Below are 20,048 nucleotides of genomic sequence, written 5' to 3' on the forward strand. Positions count from 1 at the left end.
TGGGGGTATAAGTTGAAGCAGGAGAGGTGGGCATGAGCCAGATCACGCAGGGCCTGACAGCGCGGAAGAAGGATTTGATGTTATCCTAAGGTTATGGAAACCTACTGAAGAGTTTTGACTAGGGAAACAATAAGACCAGGTTTGCTTGTTTGTGTGTTTTATATACATAAATCTAAATGTACTCATAAATATGCACAGCAGAAGGTCAGACATATCATACAGATTTTTTAAAAGAATGCAGCCAATCATCACCCCATAACTATACAGATAGAAACAGGAGTGTTGGTGGGGTGGGAACAGCGGGAGAAGGGAGGTGGCCTGGAGTCTGAAGAGGTATGCATAGTTCACCTTTTTGTTTGTTTTTAAAGACTACATGTTCATCTGATTTGATGCCAAGGTAGTATTTGGGTAAGCCAGAACAAATCCCCATTTAAAACTCTCGCCCTTCTTTAAAAGTTTCAAGAAATTTTCTCTTCAAGACTAACCTCATGTGGGTGGTGTTGGGGACCACCTACAGGGCGTCGTTTGAGAGGTGCTGAAAGATGACCCCTCGCTTCAGTGTACCTTTTCTCTGTCCTCCATTAGAACCTAAAATTCTACCATCACGATTCTACTTGGCTGGATTTTCAATTGCCAGATTTGCTACAAGAGTAACCCACTGGATCTAGTCTGCCTTCCTGGGACTGAGCTGGTTTGACTGCATTTTCTCAGGGATGGGAAGGTTTGAAGCTTTTAAGACCATTGACCATACAGGGGTGTGGAGGGGCCATGAGATGGGTAGACTACAACCCAGAGGGGCCCAATCTCCTTTTCTGACATCAATATTTTGTCTTGGGTTGGCTCTGAGATCAGCTGGTGTGTACAATATGGGTATATGTGTAACCATGTGCAGATTTAAATAGTAAAGATACATGGGTGTACTTATGATATGTACATGATTTTATAAAATGAAAAGAAACACAGGCCCCGGGATTAGACCAACCTGAGTTCAGATCACAAGGTTTGTAACCCTGGGAAAGTTACAGTATCTTACGGGGTGGTTGGGAGAATTCAATGAGATAATATGTTTAAAATCTTAGCATTGGTCAGTGGCATACAGCAAGTGCTCCATAGGTGTTACTATTATTAAGATTATGTATGTGTGCACCCTTACACAAGTGTATGCATGCATCTGCATATAGGTGCAGATATGAGTATGTAAGGGAGATAGAGTGTGTTTAAGAACAAGAGAAAGAATAATGAAAAATATCGCCAATCTCTGCAACAGGAGTTCCAGCATAGGAGTGGCCCTTTTTACGGAGTGAGACCACTGCAGGGCACAAAGGAAACTGACTCAGCTTTACTAAGTGGGAAACAGAGTAAGAGGACAGTAAACCTCAAGAGCTTCCTTAGTGGCACAGACTCAAGAGTAGAAATTAATAGAAGGAGACAGGCAAGCAGAATGGGATGTGATGTTATCAAAGCTCAAAAGTGACGTTAAAAAAGTAATAGTTGAAAGTGGTCTCTGAAATTGTCCTACATCAAAATTAGGCCTCCGTGCTCAGAAAATAGATAACCATCGGCTCCATCCTAAAGTTCTGGGCCACATGCATGTTTGATGTTTTGGAACTAACATGAAAGAACGTGGAAAAATATGTAAACAATGTTTTCAGACCTCCTGGTCTCCTCTTAAGATTTTCCCATTGAGCTGTGTCTGAACACTCTCTGCATAATAAATAATTGTCATCCTTACGTCTAGAGAGAAGATATAGTAATAACAATAATTTTAAAAAGAACACCCAGTTTCTTTCTCTTTTTTTTTTTTTTTTTTTTTGAGACGGAGTCTTAGTCGCCCAGGCTGGAGTGCAATGGCACAATCTCAGCTCACTGCAGCCTCCACCTCCCAGGTTCAAGTGATTCTTGTGCTTCAGCCTCCCAAGCACTCCCAGCCAACACACCCAGCTAATTTTTGCATTTTTAGTAGAGATCGGGCTTCACCATGTTGGCCAGGCTGGTCTCAAACTCCTGACCTCAAGCAATCCACCCACACCTCAGCCTTCCAAAGTGCTGGGATTACAGGCATGAGTCACCGCGCCTGGCCTCAAACACCTAGTTTCTAGTCCCAATTCTGCCCCTAACTCACTGGACAACTTCAAAGAATCCCTTGATCTTTCTGGGCACAGCTGCCTCATCTGTAAGAGAAAGTGAGTAGCCAGTTTTGTCCATTATCTTTTGACCTCTTGCCCTCTTAGGGGAGGCTTAGCTCCCTTGAACCACCTCTTCACCTCTTTTTTTTTTTTTTTTTTTTTGTCGCCCTGGCTGGAGTGCAGTGGCACGATCTCAGCTCACTCCAGCCTCCGCCTCCCAGGTTCAAGCGATTCTCCTGCCTCAGCCTCCTGAGTAGCTGGGACTTCAGGTGCGCACCACCATGCCCAGCTAATTTTTGTATTTTTAGTAGAAATGAGGTTTCACCATGTTGGTCAGGATGGTCTTGATCTCCTGACCTTGTGATCTGCCCACGTCGGCCTCCCAAAGTGTTGGGATTACAGGCATGAGCCACTGCGCCTGGCCAGCCTCTTAAAGTTATATCACTCCATGACATTGTTAAGAGCACAGCCCACTTGCCTTCTGCTAGCTGTGACTCCCGAGATGAGTTATTTATCCTCTCTGTGTCTCAAGTTCCCTCATCTGCAAGATGAAAGTAAAGAATAGTTTAGTGTCTCCTTGGGTTGTTAAGGGGTTAAAGGGCTAACACAGGTAAGGTATTTAGAACAGTGGTTGACACAGATAAGGACTACCCTGGCATTAAGATTGTTATTATTCACTTAATCGGATACCTTTGTAATTTTACATGAAATGTATTATCGATAAATCAAAAAATAGAAATATAGGCATAATCTGAGGATATGAAAAGACTACAGTGGATAACAGGCAGGAGGAGAGCTTGGAGGCCACTGCTTTTCCTTTTTTGAAAAAGCTTCTCTGTGCTTTGATTTTTCACGTATGTGTATATACGTGACACTAGTTTTTTAATTTAAACAGATTGAGCAAAAAGATCACTAAAGTCCCTCTTATCTCTAAATTCAGAGATTGACTATGATTTTCAAAGAGCAATATTTTCTAGGTGTCCGACTTATCCTTGTTTTCATAGCTTGACCATTTTTACTTTTGACCTTCCCAGGAAATCCTTATGAAGATTTAAAATAAACACAATCACTTTGGTATGTTTATAATGGAGCAGGTTCTGACTCCTTGGATACTACAGAAAACGGGAAAGGTGAAAATATGAACTTTGTAAATACTTGGCCTTAGGGACTGGCTTATATTTTACCTCTTACAATCTTTTCCCAGAAGCAATTCAGTAAACTGAAGGAAAGATCATAAAGTTAACAACTGCAACAACAAAAGCGTGGTAAGTAGGCAGCGCCCTGGCAGTGAAAGCGTTAACAGGGCTGGGTAAGGCGATCCCTTGAAATGAGTAAGACTGAGTGGTTAAAGTTTTCAAAGCGGTTGGCAGCAGCGGCGCTTGGAGGAAAGGAAGCCGGTTGGAGGGCGCAGCGCACCCCTGCTGCGCGGAGGAGGGGGCTGAGCTGAACTCAGCAGAAGTTACATGCACAAGGTTAGTGGCCCCCACACGCCTCCCCAGCCCGCTGCCGCGCTGACATCTTTGGAGAGGAGGCTTAGGAAGGCGAGGCGCCATCGCTCATTCTCGGTCGTGTCTGTCCTGCTTACTAGTCGCTAGTGGGGCCACTGGCCTTCTCGCCAAACCTCTGGGCTCGGTGCTTACCGAAGCCCTGGCACTTGTGAGGGACAGCTGACTTCTTCCAGACTTTTCTAAACTGGAGGCTTCTTTTCATACATCCAAAAGGAAACTTGTTTCTGGAACAAGTACTGTTTTCAGAGTACACACACACACGACCCCTACCTGTATATGCTGCCCCAGTACGGTTTTTACAGGTCGTGACCACAATCCAGAATTCCTATCTGCTTCATTTGAAATTGAGAACAATGTCAAAGTAACTAAACAGGCTGCACTACTTTACCTTGTGGGAGGAACATTGTCTCTGAGCCTAAGGTAATCGGGATGAGGAGAGAAAAAAAAAAAAAGATGAAAAAAGAAAAGAAACAAAGCTTCCAAGCACCCTGACCTGTGGTTAAGGCAAAACAATTTTTGGAAATGGGTTTCTAGTGGAAATTTTTCTTGTACATTGCTAGAATCATGTGGGAAGGTATATTGTGAAGGAAATAATTCTACATCTGCATGAGATTCAGATAAACTTACCCACCTAAACTAATCTGCATGTGGTGCAGATAATAGATACATTTAGATTTAGGGGAAGGAGGAGGAGGAGATAGCTTCACAGAAATTGCGTTCGGAGGGGGCTTTGTTGTAAGAATTGAGACTGTCCAGGAGCTTTCCCCGGGCAGGGGGTAAAGGACCTCTTCCCGCCCTGGCTGGTAGAGAGGGGTTGGGGGGCCACTTCAGCAGGCCAGTTTATCTCCCTGCTTTCCTGTCCACATAGGCAATAAGCAGTCAGTCTTGTGCTGAATGTTCCCTCTGATCCTCACAGCAAGCACGAGTTGAGTCTTATACCTGCTAGCATTGAATCAGAATGAGTCATTTGAAACTTGGGTGCCGGAACAAAGTACTTGCAAACTGCCTTATGAGACACTGCCTCAATGTAGGTGGGATATACCTCTCGGAGCAGTCACATTTTTTTTTCTCTCCTCTCCCTCCTTCAAGCAGGCAAAAATTCTGACGTTCTCAAGAGACCAGCTCTGCCCCCGTGGCTCAACTGACCCTACCATGTGGACGCTGCTCCTCCAGGTGGGAACTGGAGTTTTGAAATAAAATGGATGATTTGACGTTACTTGATCTTCTGGAGTGCCCTGTGTGCTTTGAGAAGCTCGATGTCACAGCCAAAGTCCTCCCTTGCCAGCACACCTTCTGCAAACCATGTCTACAGAGGGTTTTCAAGGCCCACAAAGAGCTGCGGTGCCCCGAATGCAGGACGCCTGTGTTTTCCAACATTGAGGCGCTGCCGGCCAACCTGCTGCTCGTGCGCCTTCTGGATGGAGTGCGCTCAGGGCAGAGCTCCGGGAGAGGGGGCTCCTTCCGCAGGCCTGGCACGATGACCTTGCAGGATGGCAGGAAAAGCAGGACCAACCCCAGACGTCTGCAGGCCAGTCCTTTCCGGCTAGTGCCTAATGTCAGAATCCACATGGATGGGGTAAGAGAGATCTTATTTGCTAATATCATGTCCACATAGAGGTTGGATTTGTGTATACAAGGAGCTAGAGATTATCTTCTTTTAGTTACATTCCAGAGTGCTGCTGTTGATTTCCCAGTGATAAGTTTCTGTGGGCAGTGATCATTTTACTCAAATACAATGAAAACCTGAGCCTATCTAATCCATCTAAGAATTCTCTTTAGAACTATTAAAGCTTCCTAGGTTCTCCTTTCCTCTAGTCCAGAAAGTAGTAGAACAAGGAAAGCCTTTTAGATTATATTTTTGGTGTTTCACTTCTGCTGTTCTGAGGCCAAACTAGTGCCTGGGAAATGCACGGAGGGTGGGGAGAAACAAAAGAGAGAAAACAAATCCAACTGCTTGTTGCTTTTGAGATCTCTCAGAAATTTCCAAATGTCAGGTTTTGTTTGAATTTTACCCAAATCCATCTTCCCACCCCTAGTCATAAAGTGCTATTATGGCAATACTCATTCATAATCTGTTCCAAGCTATCAAGATACTTGACGCGGGAGATAGTGCAGGAGGGAAGCATCTATGTGGGTGGACTGATTGATAGCAAAGGCTGGGCTGTGAAGTGCTTCAGCTGTGTATAGGAGCTCTGCAGATGTGTCTCATTTTGCAAAATGAATGAAATACAGAGAAGATACACAGCAGGGGCTGCAATTAAAAAACCAAACAGACCCAGTTACGCCTCACAGGAGATTAATGCTTTTCATGTTTGGATAATGGGAATCGCTCTGTCCAGCGCTGAAAGCACACCCCGAGGACTTTATCTGACCTGGCTATGAACCTTGTTGTGGGATAATGTGTAAGGGCACATCTGGAAAGAAGGACATGGTCCTTGTGAGTCCAGCAGAATTATTTGCACTGTCACCCCTGGAGTCAGTGTAAAAAAGTGGACACGGAAAGCTGTGGCTTGGGCCATTGGCATACTTAGAAAATCAAAGCTACATTCCTTGAAGTCTTACCTAGAGCAAGCATTAGAGTCTAAATGCTGGCAGCAGTGTCCCACATCTCCCTGCTCTGAAGAGGAATAACGTGTGGGAGGGTCTTGCAGGACTGCTTCCTTACTCAGGAGTGAGGAGTGGCTTGTGATACGCATTTGGAACAACTTTCCGAAATTTTCCTTCTAAGAGCTACCACTTCCTGGGTTCACTGCATCTTTAAACCACCCATGGCGCATGTGTAAACATTCAACAATGAGGGTGGGAAGAAGCAGGACATTTTTTCACTGTACACCCTTGATTTCTTCACTGTAGGCTTTTTATTGCCATTGTGCTTGTAAGTGACACATTCCAGAAAAGGGTTTGGAACTCTTTTTAAGTCCCTCCACTACCCCTGGTCTAGTCATCAATCAGAATCCACAGGTCTGGAAATGGCGAAGTAGGGGTGGGGAAGCAAATTGTTCTCAAACATGCCTTGTTTGTAGAGAAAAGAGCTCTATCTCTGGGTCAGCAAATCCCCCTTGAATTCCTAAGACCTAGCAACCTCTTCCCTTCCCCACCTTGCAGAAGTCTGACCTGCCTTTCAGCGGAGTATCATCACTTACTCAGGAAACGGTGTCACACTGGGAGGAGGCAGTTCCCTTATCAGCTTGGAATATTTTTGTTGTGGTTTACATCTTTCTCAATGTGACTGTGTTGCAAAGGACAGGTAGCGATGAATGGATCCACAGCTACCAAGTTTTTGAACTATAGAGGATTCTCAGGGCCCTTCTGGCACAGGGAATTGAGGTGAGAGCTGGTTGTACATAAGAGACAGCCATTAAGATACTGGGTCTCTCTGGAATTCTTTTGCAGGGACTTATAACATCAGACTATCGTCTGTGCCCACCCTCCAAGCTGCTCTGGACCAAGTCCTGTGGTGAGGCTGAAACTCAAGGGCTCCTGTGTTCAGGCAGGACCTGGGCTAGAAAGATGCTCTGCAAGAGAGCAGAGCTGGCACCCCCACTTCCCAATTCCTTTATGTCCTAACTATCCTTTCTTGAAGTGACTCCTCTCATTCCTTTTGCCTTCCTCAGTGGGGATATGAACAAACCTATTTCTGGATGTCAATATGGCTGCTGTTCTGCAACGTGCCTCTGCTCCCAAAAATATTACCTATCTTTTTTGCAACCATGAAAGCAACCATGCATCCCACAGTTAAGAGAACTGAGGGTTGTCTGGATGCCACAGTCTGTTTAGAGAGTCAGAGGAATGGACTTACATCCTCGGTCAAATCCTCCTGAGTTCCTTGCCCTCTCTGCCACAGTTCAGCCAATCTAGTCAAAAGCTACTTGCTACCCACCTTCCTCCAGGATAGTGTGAAAATTATCTTTGCAACATACTTTTACTGCCTTAGAAAACATCTGCTATGTAAATGCAAAGCATCATCATTAAGATTCATTTAGACATGCTGTATGACTTTGGGCAAGCCACTTATGTTTGCTGGGTCTCAATTTAAAATTCTGTAAAATGGGAAGATGTCATGTATAAAAACAGACAGCTACTGTGAGGTTTAACTAATTAGTATCTCCAAAACACTTTGAGAGCCTTAGATGAAAGACATTTGGAAGATCATTATCACAGTGAACATTATTATTGACTGTTTATTGTGCCCTGCCACACATGAGGCATGCTACAAAATGTAGAAGGAGTTACAGCCCTTGCAGGAGAGTGTAATAGGTATTATTATTGAACTTGATTCTATGATGAGCTCAGGCCAGGATAATACTAAGTATAAAGTACTCCACTCAGAGAGCATAAATAACCTGTTGTCACAGGGCACCATTTTGTAAAACACCTCTTTCAAAGGACTTGCCGATAACCTGGCACCCTGAAAAAGTTCGTTTAACTTTCTGTCCATGAGCTTTTGAAGCCCAAAGTCTGTTCTGCTCACCTAGACTCATCTAAAAAACAAGCTCATCAAGCTCTTTTTGTTGGCTCAAAGAGGCCTGATGCTTCCTGTGCCAACCAGTGTTCTAGGGTGGAACCAATAGTCACACCTCATGGTGCCAGCCCATAGAGAGAAAAAAATTGCCTATTGTGCCTACATGTCTAAAACCCTCCCTAGATGATTGTGTAAAAAGAAAACTTGAGAAACAGCTGTAGGTTTCTGCAGTGTGCATTTATTTCAAACCAACAGGCAAGATCACCAGACTCCTCCAGGAAGAGGTCCTGGTGGTGCAAATTCCACTGGTTCTTCTTATTCCTTCCCTAATACAGTTAAAGCAAAGGAACTTGGCAAGCCTTCAAAAGGATTGTAGGTTCCTGAATAGCTGATCTCTCTTCTTCCTCATTCTGCTACACTTTAGTAATATTTCTGATTTAGGATAGGTGGTAAAGCAGAGAAGTTATGAATCTGTGGACTTGGGTTTGAGAAATACCCAAATTCAAATCCTGACTCTGCCCCTCAACAGTTCTGCACTTTGGGTGAGTCACTTAAACCTCAGGTCCTCCAATTCCCCATCTGTAAATTGGAGATAATGGTAGTACCTACCTCAGAGGGTTGTTGTGAGAAATAAGTGAGATGATTCATGTCACTTAGCTCTTAGCACAGAGACTGGCTCATATTAAGTGCTCAGTAAATGTTAGCTGTGGTTGTTGTTGAAGTGACTCAATACTTTCTACTCTAAATTACACACACCCTTTCAGCCCCTTATTAAGCAAGTGCCATCCAGAGACGGTCCTTGGTACCCTGATTTTTGCATTGTTTTGTTTGCCTCCACATGATCCGTGGCCATGATTCAGATGTGTGATTCTTCCCAGCATGTGCTGGCTTCGCAGCTCACTTCCAGAACCCTTAAGGCACTATGATCCATTCTAGGAGAAAACTCCCTAACTAACTTCACTTTCCCCAAACAGCACCTTCAAAGGAAAACCATACACAGGGCAAGAACCTGGTCTACTTCCTCCGCATCATCAATTCTTTATTAACATTTTTATCTTTCGTTTTTTCCTGCTTCTCACTCTATTCCCCAACACAAATATTGCCATGGGTTCTGTAGGGATGGACTTTCTCCCTACCTTGCTAGCATCATGCCAGTCACACACGTTTCTGTCTTACTTGCCCCTTATCAGCAAGAACACACCTGCCACCTCCAGCACACAGACCAGGTGGCTTTGTCCTAGAAACTTTTCAGCTGGTGTTGCAAGCAACTGATGGGGAAAAAAAATGAGGTCAGAAAACATATCAGGGAATGAGGCTGGGTAGAAACCAGAAGGTGGACTAGCCCCTTTCCTGAGTCTCAGAGGTTGTGTCCTGTAATAGAGCTGTGATACAGACAGTGGGGTTTTTGCTAAATTTGCAAGGGGATTAAAATCATCCCAGGCCCCTGAAAACAGCAGATAGGTGCCATCTGGGACAGCAAGGACCATATGTAGTAGGTGGAGGAAGACATAAAGGTAGGGGCTAAGGTTGAGAAGTCAAGAGACCCAGATGGTTCTCCAGCTTCACACACATTTACAAACATTTTTAATAACCACATGGCCCCACACTGGCACTGCCTTCAATCTCTCTCAGTGTACCTCTTTTCTAGTTAGTCTCCTCTCTTTTATTGCTTACTGTAGCATTTAAGGATTTATGGTGAAGTGGGCTGTATTTGTGCCAGGATTCAATTGTTTGTTAGCTGTGTGGCCTTAGGCAAGTCACTTAACCTCTCTGATCCTCAGTTTCTAGACTTATATAATAGGAATAATAAAGGCATACTTATATCATACAGCTATTGTGAGATTAAAATGATTAAAATGAGATTAAAATGATATACATATATATAATATATATAAAGAGCTTAGCACAAGTGCCTGGCATATAACAGAAGCTAATAAATGTTAGCAACAGTAAATAACAAAAGAGTAACAATGGAAGAGAAAGTCAGCTGGCACTAGAGTTCTTTGCACACACACAGAAACATGCAGGGATCTCCATTAAAAAAAAAAAAGGAACCAAAGAGTACTGCAAAAGGAAAGGGAGTTCTCAAAAAGACAAAACTGTAGTGATGAGAAATAGGTCAGTGGTAGCCAGGGGTTATGGACTGGGGGAGGATGGGACCAAAAAGGGGCAGAATGAGGTGATAGAACTGTTACATATCCTGATTGTGGTAGTAATTAAATGAAACTATGTATGTGTTAAAATTTATACAAATAAATGCCAAGAGACAAAAGTCGATTTTACCGTATGACAATATTTTAAGAAAGGAAAGTAAGTTCTTGCACATTTCTTTTAGCCTCTGCCTGATATTCACCTGACCCACTCTGATTTCCTTTCATTTCTATGTGTATTGGATCAATGCTATTTCTGAGAAAAACTTCACTATCACTTAAGTGATCAGGGTAATCCCTGCAGTGGGTTCCTCCGTGTTGTAGACAGCCATTCCATTACCTACTTCAGTTTTTTGTTTTTGTTTTTGTTTTTGTTTTTGTTTTATCAGTTAAAGGTGTCTGGCCAAGCAGTGGACAAACCCAATAAACAGCTCACTCCCCACAGGATGGCCTAAGCTCTGAGGCAATGGGTGGGGCATAAGGTTTTTCTTACTCAACCTCAATTATTTGCCGTGTGCATTAGGGACATGTTACCTAAGGGATTAGCCAATATATATTTTTGTGTTGTTTCATTTCCCCTTAGGAAAAGTTGCCTGCCCACCTGTCCGTTCATGCTATAAAAAGTCTCAGGAGAGAAGAAATGTGCCTATTCAGCCCTTGACTCTTGAAGAGCATTCTCATCTGGCCCATTGCCAGCACTGTTACATCACTTTGGCTTAGCTGGGACCAGCTCAGATATAGGTTGTGCAGCCCTAATTTGAAAATCTGACATCCAAAATGCTCCAAAATCCAACACTTTTTGAGTGCTGACATGAGGCTTAAAGGAAGTGTTCATCAAAGCATTTTGAATTTCAGATTTTAGATTTTTCAATTTGGGATGCTCAACTAGTATGTATTCTGCAAATATTCCAAAATCCAAAAAAAATCTGAAATCTGAAACTCTTCTGGTCCCAAGGGATACTCAACCTGGACAACTTTACTCAATTTCTTTTCCCTTTTTTTTTTTTTTTTTTAAATTATGCTTTAGAGACAGGGTCTCATTCCGTCACAGTGCAGTGCAGTGCAGTGGCCCAATTATAGCTTGCTGCAGCCTCGAACTCCTGGGCTCAAGCAATCCTGCCTCAGCTTCCTGAGCAGCTACAACTACAGGCACACACCACACCTGACTCTCCCTTCCTTTCTCCTTCTATTTATTCATGCTTGTACTTTAGACCAGCCTTTCACATGGTGAATTCTGTAATGGGTGTGCCACACAGTGCCAGGGTCAAACAAACCTGAGATTAAAGTAAAACTAAACATTTTCCCTTTGCTGCAGGACTTTTTGCACGTTTTACCATGCTGATGAATTGTAAATTTCTAAGTGAGAGCTTAATAAGAAACATTTCCCACATTTCTATGGCACTGACACCCCTTTCTTCTCCCTTTTCTTGTATTAGCCTCTTAGTAATATTAATTGTCCATGGAACAAAATTTGAGAAACGCTGTCTCAGAGTTCACATGCTCAGTCATAATGCAAAAGATATTTTTAGGAAACTGTTGGAAACTCACTATTGCCACCCTCTGCAGTATTTATTTAGTTCCTACCAGTTTTCAGCTATAGGCACTATGGTAACCTGCACAGCAAAGCAAAGATTCTCACCTCCTCAGTGCAGAAACCAGTCAAGACTAATTGGTAAACCAACTAGTCAGTATACCTGTATACAAAGATACATATATAGAGACATACATGTATCAAAATTAGGGATATTGATATTGATTTTAAGGTATTCATTATAAGATGTATTGTCTATTTAGTTATAGTTCTTAGAGGGAAAGAGAAACACTACTATGTTACATGCTCACTGTAGGATGCATCCAATTTTAGAAATGTTAAGATGTGAAAAAAGAAGTGTCTTACCAAAGAGTACATACTGTCTTATTCCACTTATGTAAAATTGTAGAAAAGACAAAACCATAAACTATAGTGATTTTTTGCATAATGAAAATGTTTTATGCAATGGTATATAGTTTTACGAAAACATCAAAGTAGACACTTAAACTGGGTACATTTTTGTATGTAAATTATAACCCCATAAACTTGATTAAGACAAAGAATTCTTAGACTCAAGAAATGATGGTTTATGAAAATATCAGGTGGCAAGGCAATTCAGTTTGAACAAAATGAAGCTTGATTGATAAAAAGAAACTTCCTAGAAAAACAAAAAGATGTTTTAAAAGTCAGGAAGTGTATGGTCAAGGGAAGAAAAGGCAGGGTCTGTTCTGGGCATGTGGACCTAGAAAAGGCAGGATAGGGCAGGGATATCTTGAATGAGAATTGAAGCTGAAAGAGAAGGGAAGGAAACAGATAGAGGAGAGGCAGAGTGACTAGATACTTGCCTTCCTATCAGGGTGACTAGATACCACCAGGAAGACGCATGTCAAGCATTCTCTGTAATAAAGTCTCTCCAGCAGCCCTCATGCCAGACTTGTTGCCTGCCATTGTGAGGACTATCAGCTGTATCTACAGCAACTTCTTGGATTCAGTGCAGCCAAACAAGAAGTTATCTCTACTCCAAGCAGGTGACCGAGCTTACTGGGTAACTGAGGAGCAGTCTCCATGTCCTTGGCAGACAAAGCCAGTCTTTTCCATTGAAATGGTCAGGTTACCTGAAACCCCTAGCACACATGAACACCAGCAAGAACATCCAAAGCAAGTGATATAACATGAGCAGGGAAAGATAAATCTGTTCACCATGAGCTGCTTCCTGCATCTGGGGCCTGTGCCAGTCCCCAGGGTCACACTGCCCCAGATCCCCAGCTCAGAAGCCAGAGCATTCAACAAACTGTTCCTAAGTGCCTGCTATGTACCAGGCTCTGTCTTGAAAGCTCACACCAGGGACACTCATGAGCTCAGACTCCAGGACTCAAATAGTAGCTGAGTTCATCTCAGATCTCTGTCATTTCTTCGATCTTTTTTCCGAGTACAAACAAAACAGGCAACTCATCTTATCTCTGAATACTGTGCTCAGAGCACCCAGCCCACAGCTTGGCCCATATTAGGAATTTTTTTTAATGGAAGAGTAAATAAATAAACACAATCATGCCTGTGGTAGACCTCATGGGATCATGAAATAACTCCTCATTATGCAGAAATGAACCCTTTATGAATTGAGCCATTACAGAGCTATTTGAGAAACAAGTGGCACACTATATTAGGCATAAAGTCATGTGGTGACTGAAACATTCTTGCTGTGAATCACCTTATTAAATACCTTTTTGGGTGATGAACATCATTCTCGGGAAAATACAGTGGGCCAGCTTCAAGATCTCTTAGCTCATGAGTCGCTAACCCTAAGAAGATAGGCAGTGCCACTCTGCATATGACTAAACTCTTACATCATACACCACAAATTTCATGTGCTCTTTGATCTTGAGAGAAACACTTCATCTTAACTGACACTTAGTCATAGGGATACCAGTGACAGAAAGGAAGAGGCTCTGAAAGAATTTGCCACTGAGTTTATGAGTTGAACTGACCTGGCCTCCAATATGAAGGGAAGACAGTGTTTCCAGTAGAAACATGGCCCCTGTACTTGTGCTGCCAAAGCCCTAATTTTATCAGTTTTTTCAACAATTATATTTTTTATTGTGGTAAAATACACATAACATAAAATCTACCATGTTAGCCTTTGCTAAGTGTTCAGTTCAGCAGCATTAAGTACATTGATCTTGTTATGCAAGTGTCACCACTATCCATCTTCAGAACTTTTTCATCACCCCATACTGAAACTCTGTACCCATTGAACAATAACTTTCCATTCTGTCCTCTCCCATATATATATATATATATTTAAAATAAAATTATATATATTTAAATTATTTCTGAATAATAGGAATAGGTATTTAGTATTATTTTTAAAATATGTATTCCAATTTTCTGCTGCTTCTGACCTTAGACATCTGATGATACAAGTAAACAAGACAATGTTTGCTTAATGTTTACAAGACAATGCTGTCCATTCATGAGTACTGCCTGTGTGTTTCTGGGCAAGTTACTTAGTGACTCTGATCATTGTTACTATGAAATAGAAATAGTAAGGCTCACCTCATATGGTTATTGGGAGGATTTAATGAGATGATGCCTATAAAGTGCTTAGCACAGGGCCTGGCACCAAATAAGCTCCCAGTATGATTAGCTATCTCCTTGTACTCCTCCAGGTAGGTTTCTCTTTTCACATGCTATCATGCCCACCACAGTTGGACTGCTATTTCCCTGTGCTATAGACCTGGGGATAATAAAAATCATGGCATCACTTGGAGGATATATCAAGATAATTCTTATAAAGCTCATAGCACAGGGCCTGACTCATAGTAAGCTCAGTGGCAATCAATGTCAGGCATTGTTATTATTAATATTTCCCAGGTCTCACTTGTTCAACAGACACATATAAGATGTCTTTGATGGGTAAAGTCCCTTTGCTTGGGCTCCAAAAGTGAGAGAGACAGGATCCATGTCCTCAATAGCTTGTGGTCTTTTATGTAAACCACATACTACTTAAAATATTACCAAATAGCTTGTGGTCTTTTATGTAAACCACATACCACTTAAACTTTATTTTCAAGTTATTTTAAGATTTATTAACTGCATCTTACTTATTATGCATGATGCAGTTAATAAATCTTAAAATAAAGGGTGTTCACATGTGTTACGAGAGCACAGATGAAGAACTGGTCAACTCTACAAACAGAGTACATGTATGGAGGACTTACTATGTGTCATTCACTGGGCTCTACCTACAGAATCTCATTTAACTCTACATACAACCCACTGAGAATGGTGCTACTGGTATCTCCACTTTATACAAGAGGTTTGTGTTCTGTAAGTGTAAATATTAATAAAACAAAATAGGAAAATATGATTACACATCAAAATTTATCATCCCTCTAGTTGTGGGAATGTTTAGGGAAGATTTTGAGGTTGTACTTTTTAAAACTAGGCATCAACAGAAACCCATGACACTGAGGATTGCAAACCTCAGAATGCATTGCGGGGCACATAAGTTGTTGGGTGGTGAGTCCTGGCCTCATGGCCCCAACACCGCTCGCTTTGGAAAATGTGCCTCTCAGGTGCCACTTGCATGCACAGCATAGAGGGACCAAGAGTAGATGTAAGAGAACGTGGATCATTCACTGTCACCCTTTCCTGAAAGCCTATTAGGAAAACATTAGCCTGGAGACAGGAGAAATAAGGCAAATAATCCCAGGGTGTCTGAAGAAGACCACCTAGCTGAGGGCATCAGACAAACTGCCAGTGTTAGAGAAGGCAGGAATAAAACTGTCCAGCTACTTGGGAAATTCGCCATGTGGCTGATGGCAACCCACCCTCAGGTACCAGTGTAGCCTCTGTTCCTCCGGAAGTCAGCCCTCTGTCCCAAACCCAGGTTGGTCTTAGGTTCCTCCGCAGGTTCCCAGTCTCCAGTGCTATCCTCCAGCCTCCACAGCATGTAACAGACTGTACAGTGCTGTCTGTTCATGTCTCTTTTCTACTAGACTATAAGCTCCATGGGTAAGGAGGTGTCTTGTCCTCCTTTGTACCTAACACAGGGCCTGAAATGCAATCAGCATTCATTAAATACTTAATTATTGAATGCATAATGTTTGCCATATTGCAAGAAACTGCGGTTAGATTAGCCAGCCTCGTGGCTGAGCTCCTGGTATCTTCCCTTGAGGCTAAACGAAAGGAGACATATCAGCCATTTTGTCCTCAGGATCTCTTCCAGCCCCTGCCTTGTTGATGAGGGTGTTGCTTGACTTGAGGCCAGGTGTGTTAGGAATGACACGTAGGTGCTTGCAGGGGATTCGGAGGTAATTGGGAGGTGAAAAAAGAAGTCAAACCAGAATGCAGCCAGATACCAGGGAGAACACCAACTGACTGGCATGCCAAAGCCTTCTGAGCAGGTCACCCTGGTTTTTGCAGAATTAAGAATGATATCGCTGTACACATTAAAGTATTTTAATTGGTTGCCAAGGCGATACGGCAGAATCACAGGGCACAGAGCAGGAATAGAACTCTGCAGGTCTGTGTTCAGGAAAGGTGTTCGTCTGTGATATTAACGAGCTGCCTGGATATGAGAAAGGCAAAGTGGCAGTAAATCTTATCTGGGACTTTTGCTTAATAAACAGGAATGGCAGAGAAATGGAGGGGCAGAAGAGAAAACTTCCCTTCCCAGCTCTCTGGAGAAGCAGGAGAGGTAATCTTCTGGATTCCAAATTTCTCCTCAGAGTGGTGAATTCCCACAGCTGAGAGAAAGCCGAGTAGATTGGTTTGATGCATAAGGGAAGGAGGAACAGAGGGAGAGAACAATGGAAGAAGACAGCAGTGTTCTTTTCCTATTGAGAGGTGATTAAAAAGGATCCAGGATGCAGGAGGCTGCATTTTTAACAGGGGAAAAAGAAACATTTACCATCTCCCTCTTTTACTTCTCTTTGTATTCGAAAGAAAAATAATTTGCAGTTAAACATATTTCTTTTTATTGTTTTGTTCTTGTTTTCTGCAGCTTTTCAAACACTAAGATTTTTTTCACAACAGAAAGTTTTGTAGCTGAGATATTCCTGGGATTCCTACCTTCCCATTCCAGTTGCTATCCCAAAGCCTGGAGAATCAAGCCAACACAACCAAGTGGAATGATTGTTCTCACTGATTGGGCATGCAGGGAGGGACCAGGAAAGAAAGGAGCCAAAGAAAGGTGGATATAGTTGCTAATCATCACCTTCATAACTACTACCATCATGTAGCTCACACCATGTGCCCAGAACTGAGCCAAAGAAACATGTCTTCTTTAATCCTCTCAACTGTCCTTGGAGGTCTGTGGTATTTTCCCACTTTACAGATGAGGAAACTCTCAGGAAGTGCAGAGTCAGAACTTGAACCAGGTCTGCCTGAATCCAAGGGCTGGGTTCTAACCAAGGTGACAAAGACCGGTATGTTGTTCCCTTTTGCAACCTCATGGAGCCCTGCACTAGCTGCCATTGCTGGTTGAATCCTTTGGCACCAACATTACCATTCTAATGTTGTTGATGAGCTTCTGGAGCATGATTTAATCCCTAGCCAATCTAACTCCATGTTAATTATATGCTGTGTCTTCACTGGGTACTTCTTGGTCAGAAATTTAAGAATGTAAGTAATAAAAATCAGTGTAGGTAAATAGAGAGGGAAACAGGAGAAGGGGAAATTCAGTGAGAGAAAAGAGGGAGCTAGAGAAGAAAAAAGGCAGAAAAGGTACACATGTGATCTGGACAATAGAAATAAAAACCGGAGAAGAAGGAGGAGAAAAGGGAGGGAAGCCAATCAGAAATCAAATGTGCAAGGGAGGGATATTTGGAAGAGAGATTTTATCTCGAATATGACAAGCTCTGGTCCAGAACTGATCTGCTTTTCCTGAAATGTAAACAGATTCAGGACAAAATATATTTCATTCCTAACAGAAACCCATTATGTGCACAGGCAAAATAGTTCATTGTAGGTGAGGAAAAATAGAGCCTGAAATTCAGGAAACTCTGCTTCCAATCCTGTCTTAGCTGAAAACCAACCATGTGACATGAAATGTATCTGAGTACTTAATAAATCTTAGCCTTACTATGGTTATGGAAAAAGTTTCAAATTCTCTGAGTCTCAATATTCCAGCAACCCAAATTTAAAATTTTCTCTTTTCATATTTTATAGAGTATGCAGAAGATACGGAAACTTTGCATTTATGTTTTTAAGAAAAAATTATAAATTTAAAAGTTTTCAGAAAGATGGCTAACATTTTTTAATGCTTACCATCTTCAAGAGCCTGTGCTAAATCCTTTACCCGCAAAAGCTTATTTAATCCACAGAGCAACACTTGTTTACAGATAAGAGGCTCGGGAGTACTTTGGGCAAGCTACCCATGTAGACTGACTCTAAGCACACATTCTTGACTGTCACTTATGCTGGCTCATCTTGCAGCACAGTAGCTCTGCCTCCCTCATGCAAGGAGTATGCATAGCACATATCTTTTTTGTTTATTAACATGGCATTAGTAAATTTCTCCCAAGTCATGTTACCAGTTTACATCTTGGTTCTCTGAAACTACATAGTACCAGCCACATACGTAGGGACTCAGTGAGTCTTCTAATTCCTTTGCATTCTAAAATCTCGCATCTGCAAGACATCTTGAAGGTCCTCCAAGCCACCCCTCCTATGCTTCAGTCCTCTCACTGACTTCCCACTGAGAGGCCCACACAACCAGTCCATTTGAATTTCCAGTTTGGGGAAGTTTTCTGTGTCTGAGGCACATACTATTTCCTCCACCTCTGAACAGCAATATTAGAAAAGTCTCCCTGAAATTAAGCCACATGAAACACATCTGCCCACTCTTCCATGGGCATCTGCCACTCTTTGAAGGCAACTCAGGAGGGTTGCATCTTATTTTAACACCTTATTTTCAGTCTTATTTTCTCCGGGCTGGACTACCTCGCTTAGTTCTCCTATTGAACTGGTTTTAAGTATTCCTAACCTGGGGGACAAGATAGAGCACTAGGTAAGAACAGGGGCTCTGAAGTTATAATAGCTAGTTTCAAATCTCAGTTCTACCTTTTGATAGCTGTATGACTTTGGATAAGTCAACCTCCCTGAGCCCCAATCTCTTAATCAAGAATGGGAATAATTTGTAACCTACCACCTACATTGGTTCTGAGATTAACAAATACACTTGAGGACTGGCCCATAAATGCACTTAGCACATGTTAATTATTTTTGCTATTATTTAATATTATTATTGCCACTCTCTCTGCATAAGTATCCATCTTATTCCACTGAGGGTCCCTGGTCCAGGGTTCAGTTGCTCTCTTTAAACCACCTGTAAATAAGCATAATGGGGTTTTGTTGCCTAAAACATCTCTAAAGTATCCACATGCTGGGGTTTCAGGTCATACCAGGAAGAATTGCCACAATCCTAGAGAATCTTTCTTGGGATTCCTTCTCATAAAGAGCCTCTAACCATAACAAACCTTGCTAAAACAATATCTTAATAGTAGTGCTACTTTTAACAGCACTATAGAAAAAAAAACAACTTTTGTTCCTCTAAGTTCTGCCGGGCACATCTCACATTCTGTGGGGGATATGGTAAGCTACTGGTGTAACACAACTCAGTGAAAGGAAGAAATTCTACATTTCAATAATAATAACCACTAATATTCACTGACTACACAAATGTATATTGAGTGCTCACTATGTGTCAGACACTAAACTAAGCTCTAGGATATAACCATGAACAAGACAGACGTGTAATGTATACTCTAATGGGATAGATAAAAGGAACAAAAATGTTTATAATCTTAGCTGGGTTCCCCTCAGAAGCAGATCCTGAGATGAGGATTGAATGCTTATAGATTATCTGGGAGGCGTAAGGACATTGGCAGGGGAGTGATGGCATCATATAGGGAAGAGAGGGCGGCCAAGAAAGCTGTGTTATGAGGCCAGCTACTGCAGTGGGCAGTAAAGCTTAATCTTTTGAGGAAACTCTGGGAAACAGTATAAAACCCAGACCTTAGAACTGTGCTGGCCAAGAGATGAGAGATCTGGGTTATTTATACCCTCATACCTGTCATTGGTTAAGAGCTGCCCCCAAAGGCAAAGTACATTCTAGAATCTCAATAGAAGGCATTCAACAAAATCATAGGTGCCAGCTATTGGAAGTGAAGCTGAATTGCACAGAAATGGTAAAGGCTCTGAAGAAATATAGGCAGAACACCAACAGTCTCTCTCTCTCTCTCTCTGTCACACACACACACACACACA

The 20,048-nt window shown here is 42.2% G+C and overlaps 1 protein-coding gene and 1 long non-coding RNA gene across 6 annotated transcripts in view, besides 2 other annotated features; one reads left to right on the top strand and one right to left on the bottom strand.

Moving 5' to 3' along the window:
* Window positions 1-2,604: 2,604 nt before the first annotated feature.
* The window catches only part of LOC107986458 (uncharacterized), a 131,758-nt gene continuing 114,314 nt past the window's right edge, over window positions 2,605-20,048 (bottom strand). The window contains exon 4 of the long non-coding RNA XR_001742913.2: window positions 2,605-2,667. This is a non-coding gene — a long non-coding RNA (uncharacterized LOC107986458). The remainder of the gene's footprint in view (window positions 2,668-20,048) is intronic.
* Window positions 3,220-3,797: an enhancer, noted in NCBI's record as "OCT4-NANOG-H3K27ac hESC enhancer chr5:145315879-145316456 (GRCh37/hg19 assembly coordinates)". NCBI's record gives its function as "activates a minimal SCP1, AML or CMV promoter by ChIP-STARR-seq in naive and primed H9 embryonic stem cells {active_cell/tissue: H9 hESC(naive and primed)}" and the evidence as "EXISTENCE:reporter gene assay evidence [ECO:0000049][PMID:30033119]".
* Window positions 3,482-20,048, top strand: part of SH3RF2 (SH3 domain containing ring finger 2) — a 145,196-nt gene continuing 128,629 nt past the window's right edge. For 3 of the 5 annotated variants that reach the window (XM_011537568.3, XM_017009136.2, NM_152550.4), the window contains exons 1-2: window positions 3,482-3,598; window positions 4,727-5,210. In XM_011537568.3, coding sequence (XP_011535870.1) covers window positions 4,833-5,210 — 378 coding nt within the window. In that variant the 5' untranslated portion in view covers window positions 3,482-3,598; window positions 4,727-4,832. Of the gene's footprint in view, window positions 3,599-4,723; window positions 5,211-20,048 lie in introns of all 5 variants that reach the window. The other 2 variants (XM_006714757.2, XM_011537567.3) reach the window with 1 other exon arrangement.
* Window positions 18,066-18,266: a silencer, noted in NCBI's record as "peak5514 fragment used in MPRA reporter construct". NCBI's record gives its function as "represses an SCP1 promoter by STARR-seq MPRAs in K562 erythroleukemia cells {active_cell/tissue: K562}" and the evidence as "EXISTENCE:reporter gene assay evidence [ECO:0000049][PMID:32103011]".

The sequence above is a fragment of the Homo sapiens genome, chromosome 5, assembly GCF_000001405.40.
Source record: "Homo sapiens chromosome 5, GRCh38.p14 Primary Assembly".
Classification (NCBI taxonomy): domain Eukaryota; kingdom Metazoa; phylum Chordata; class Mammalia; order Primates; family Hominidae; genus Homo; species Homo sapiens.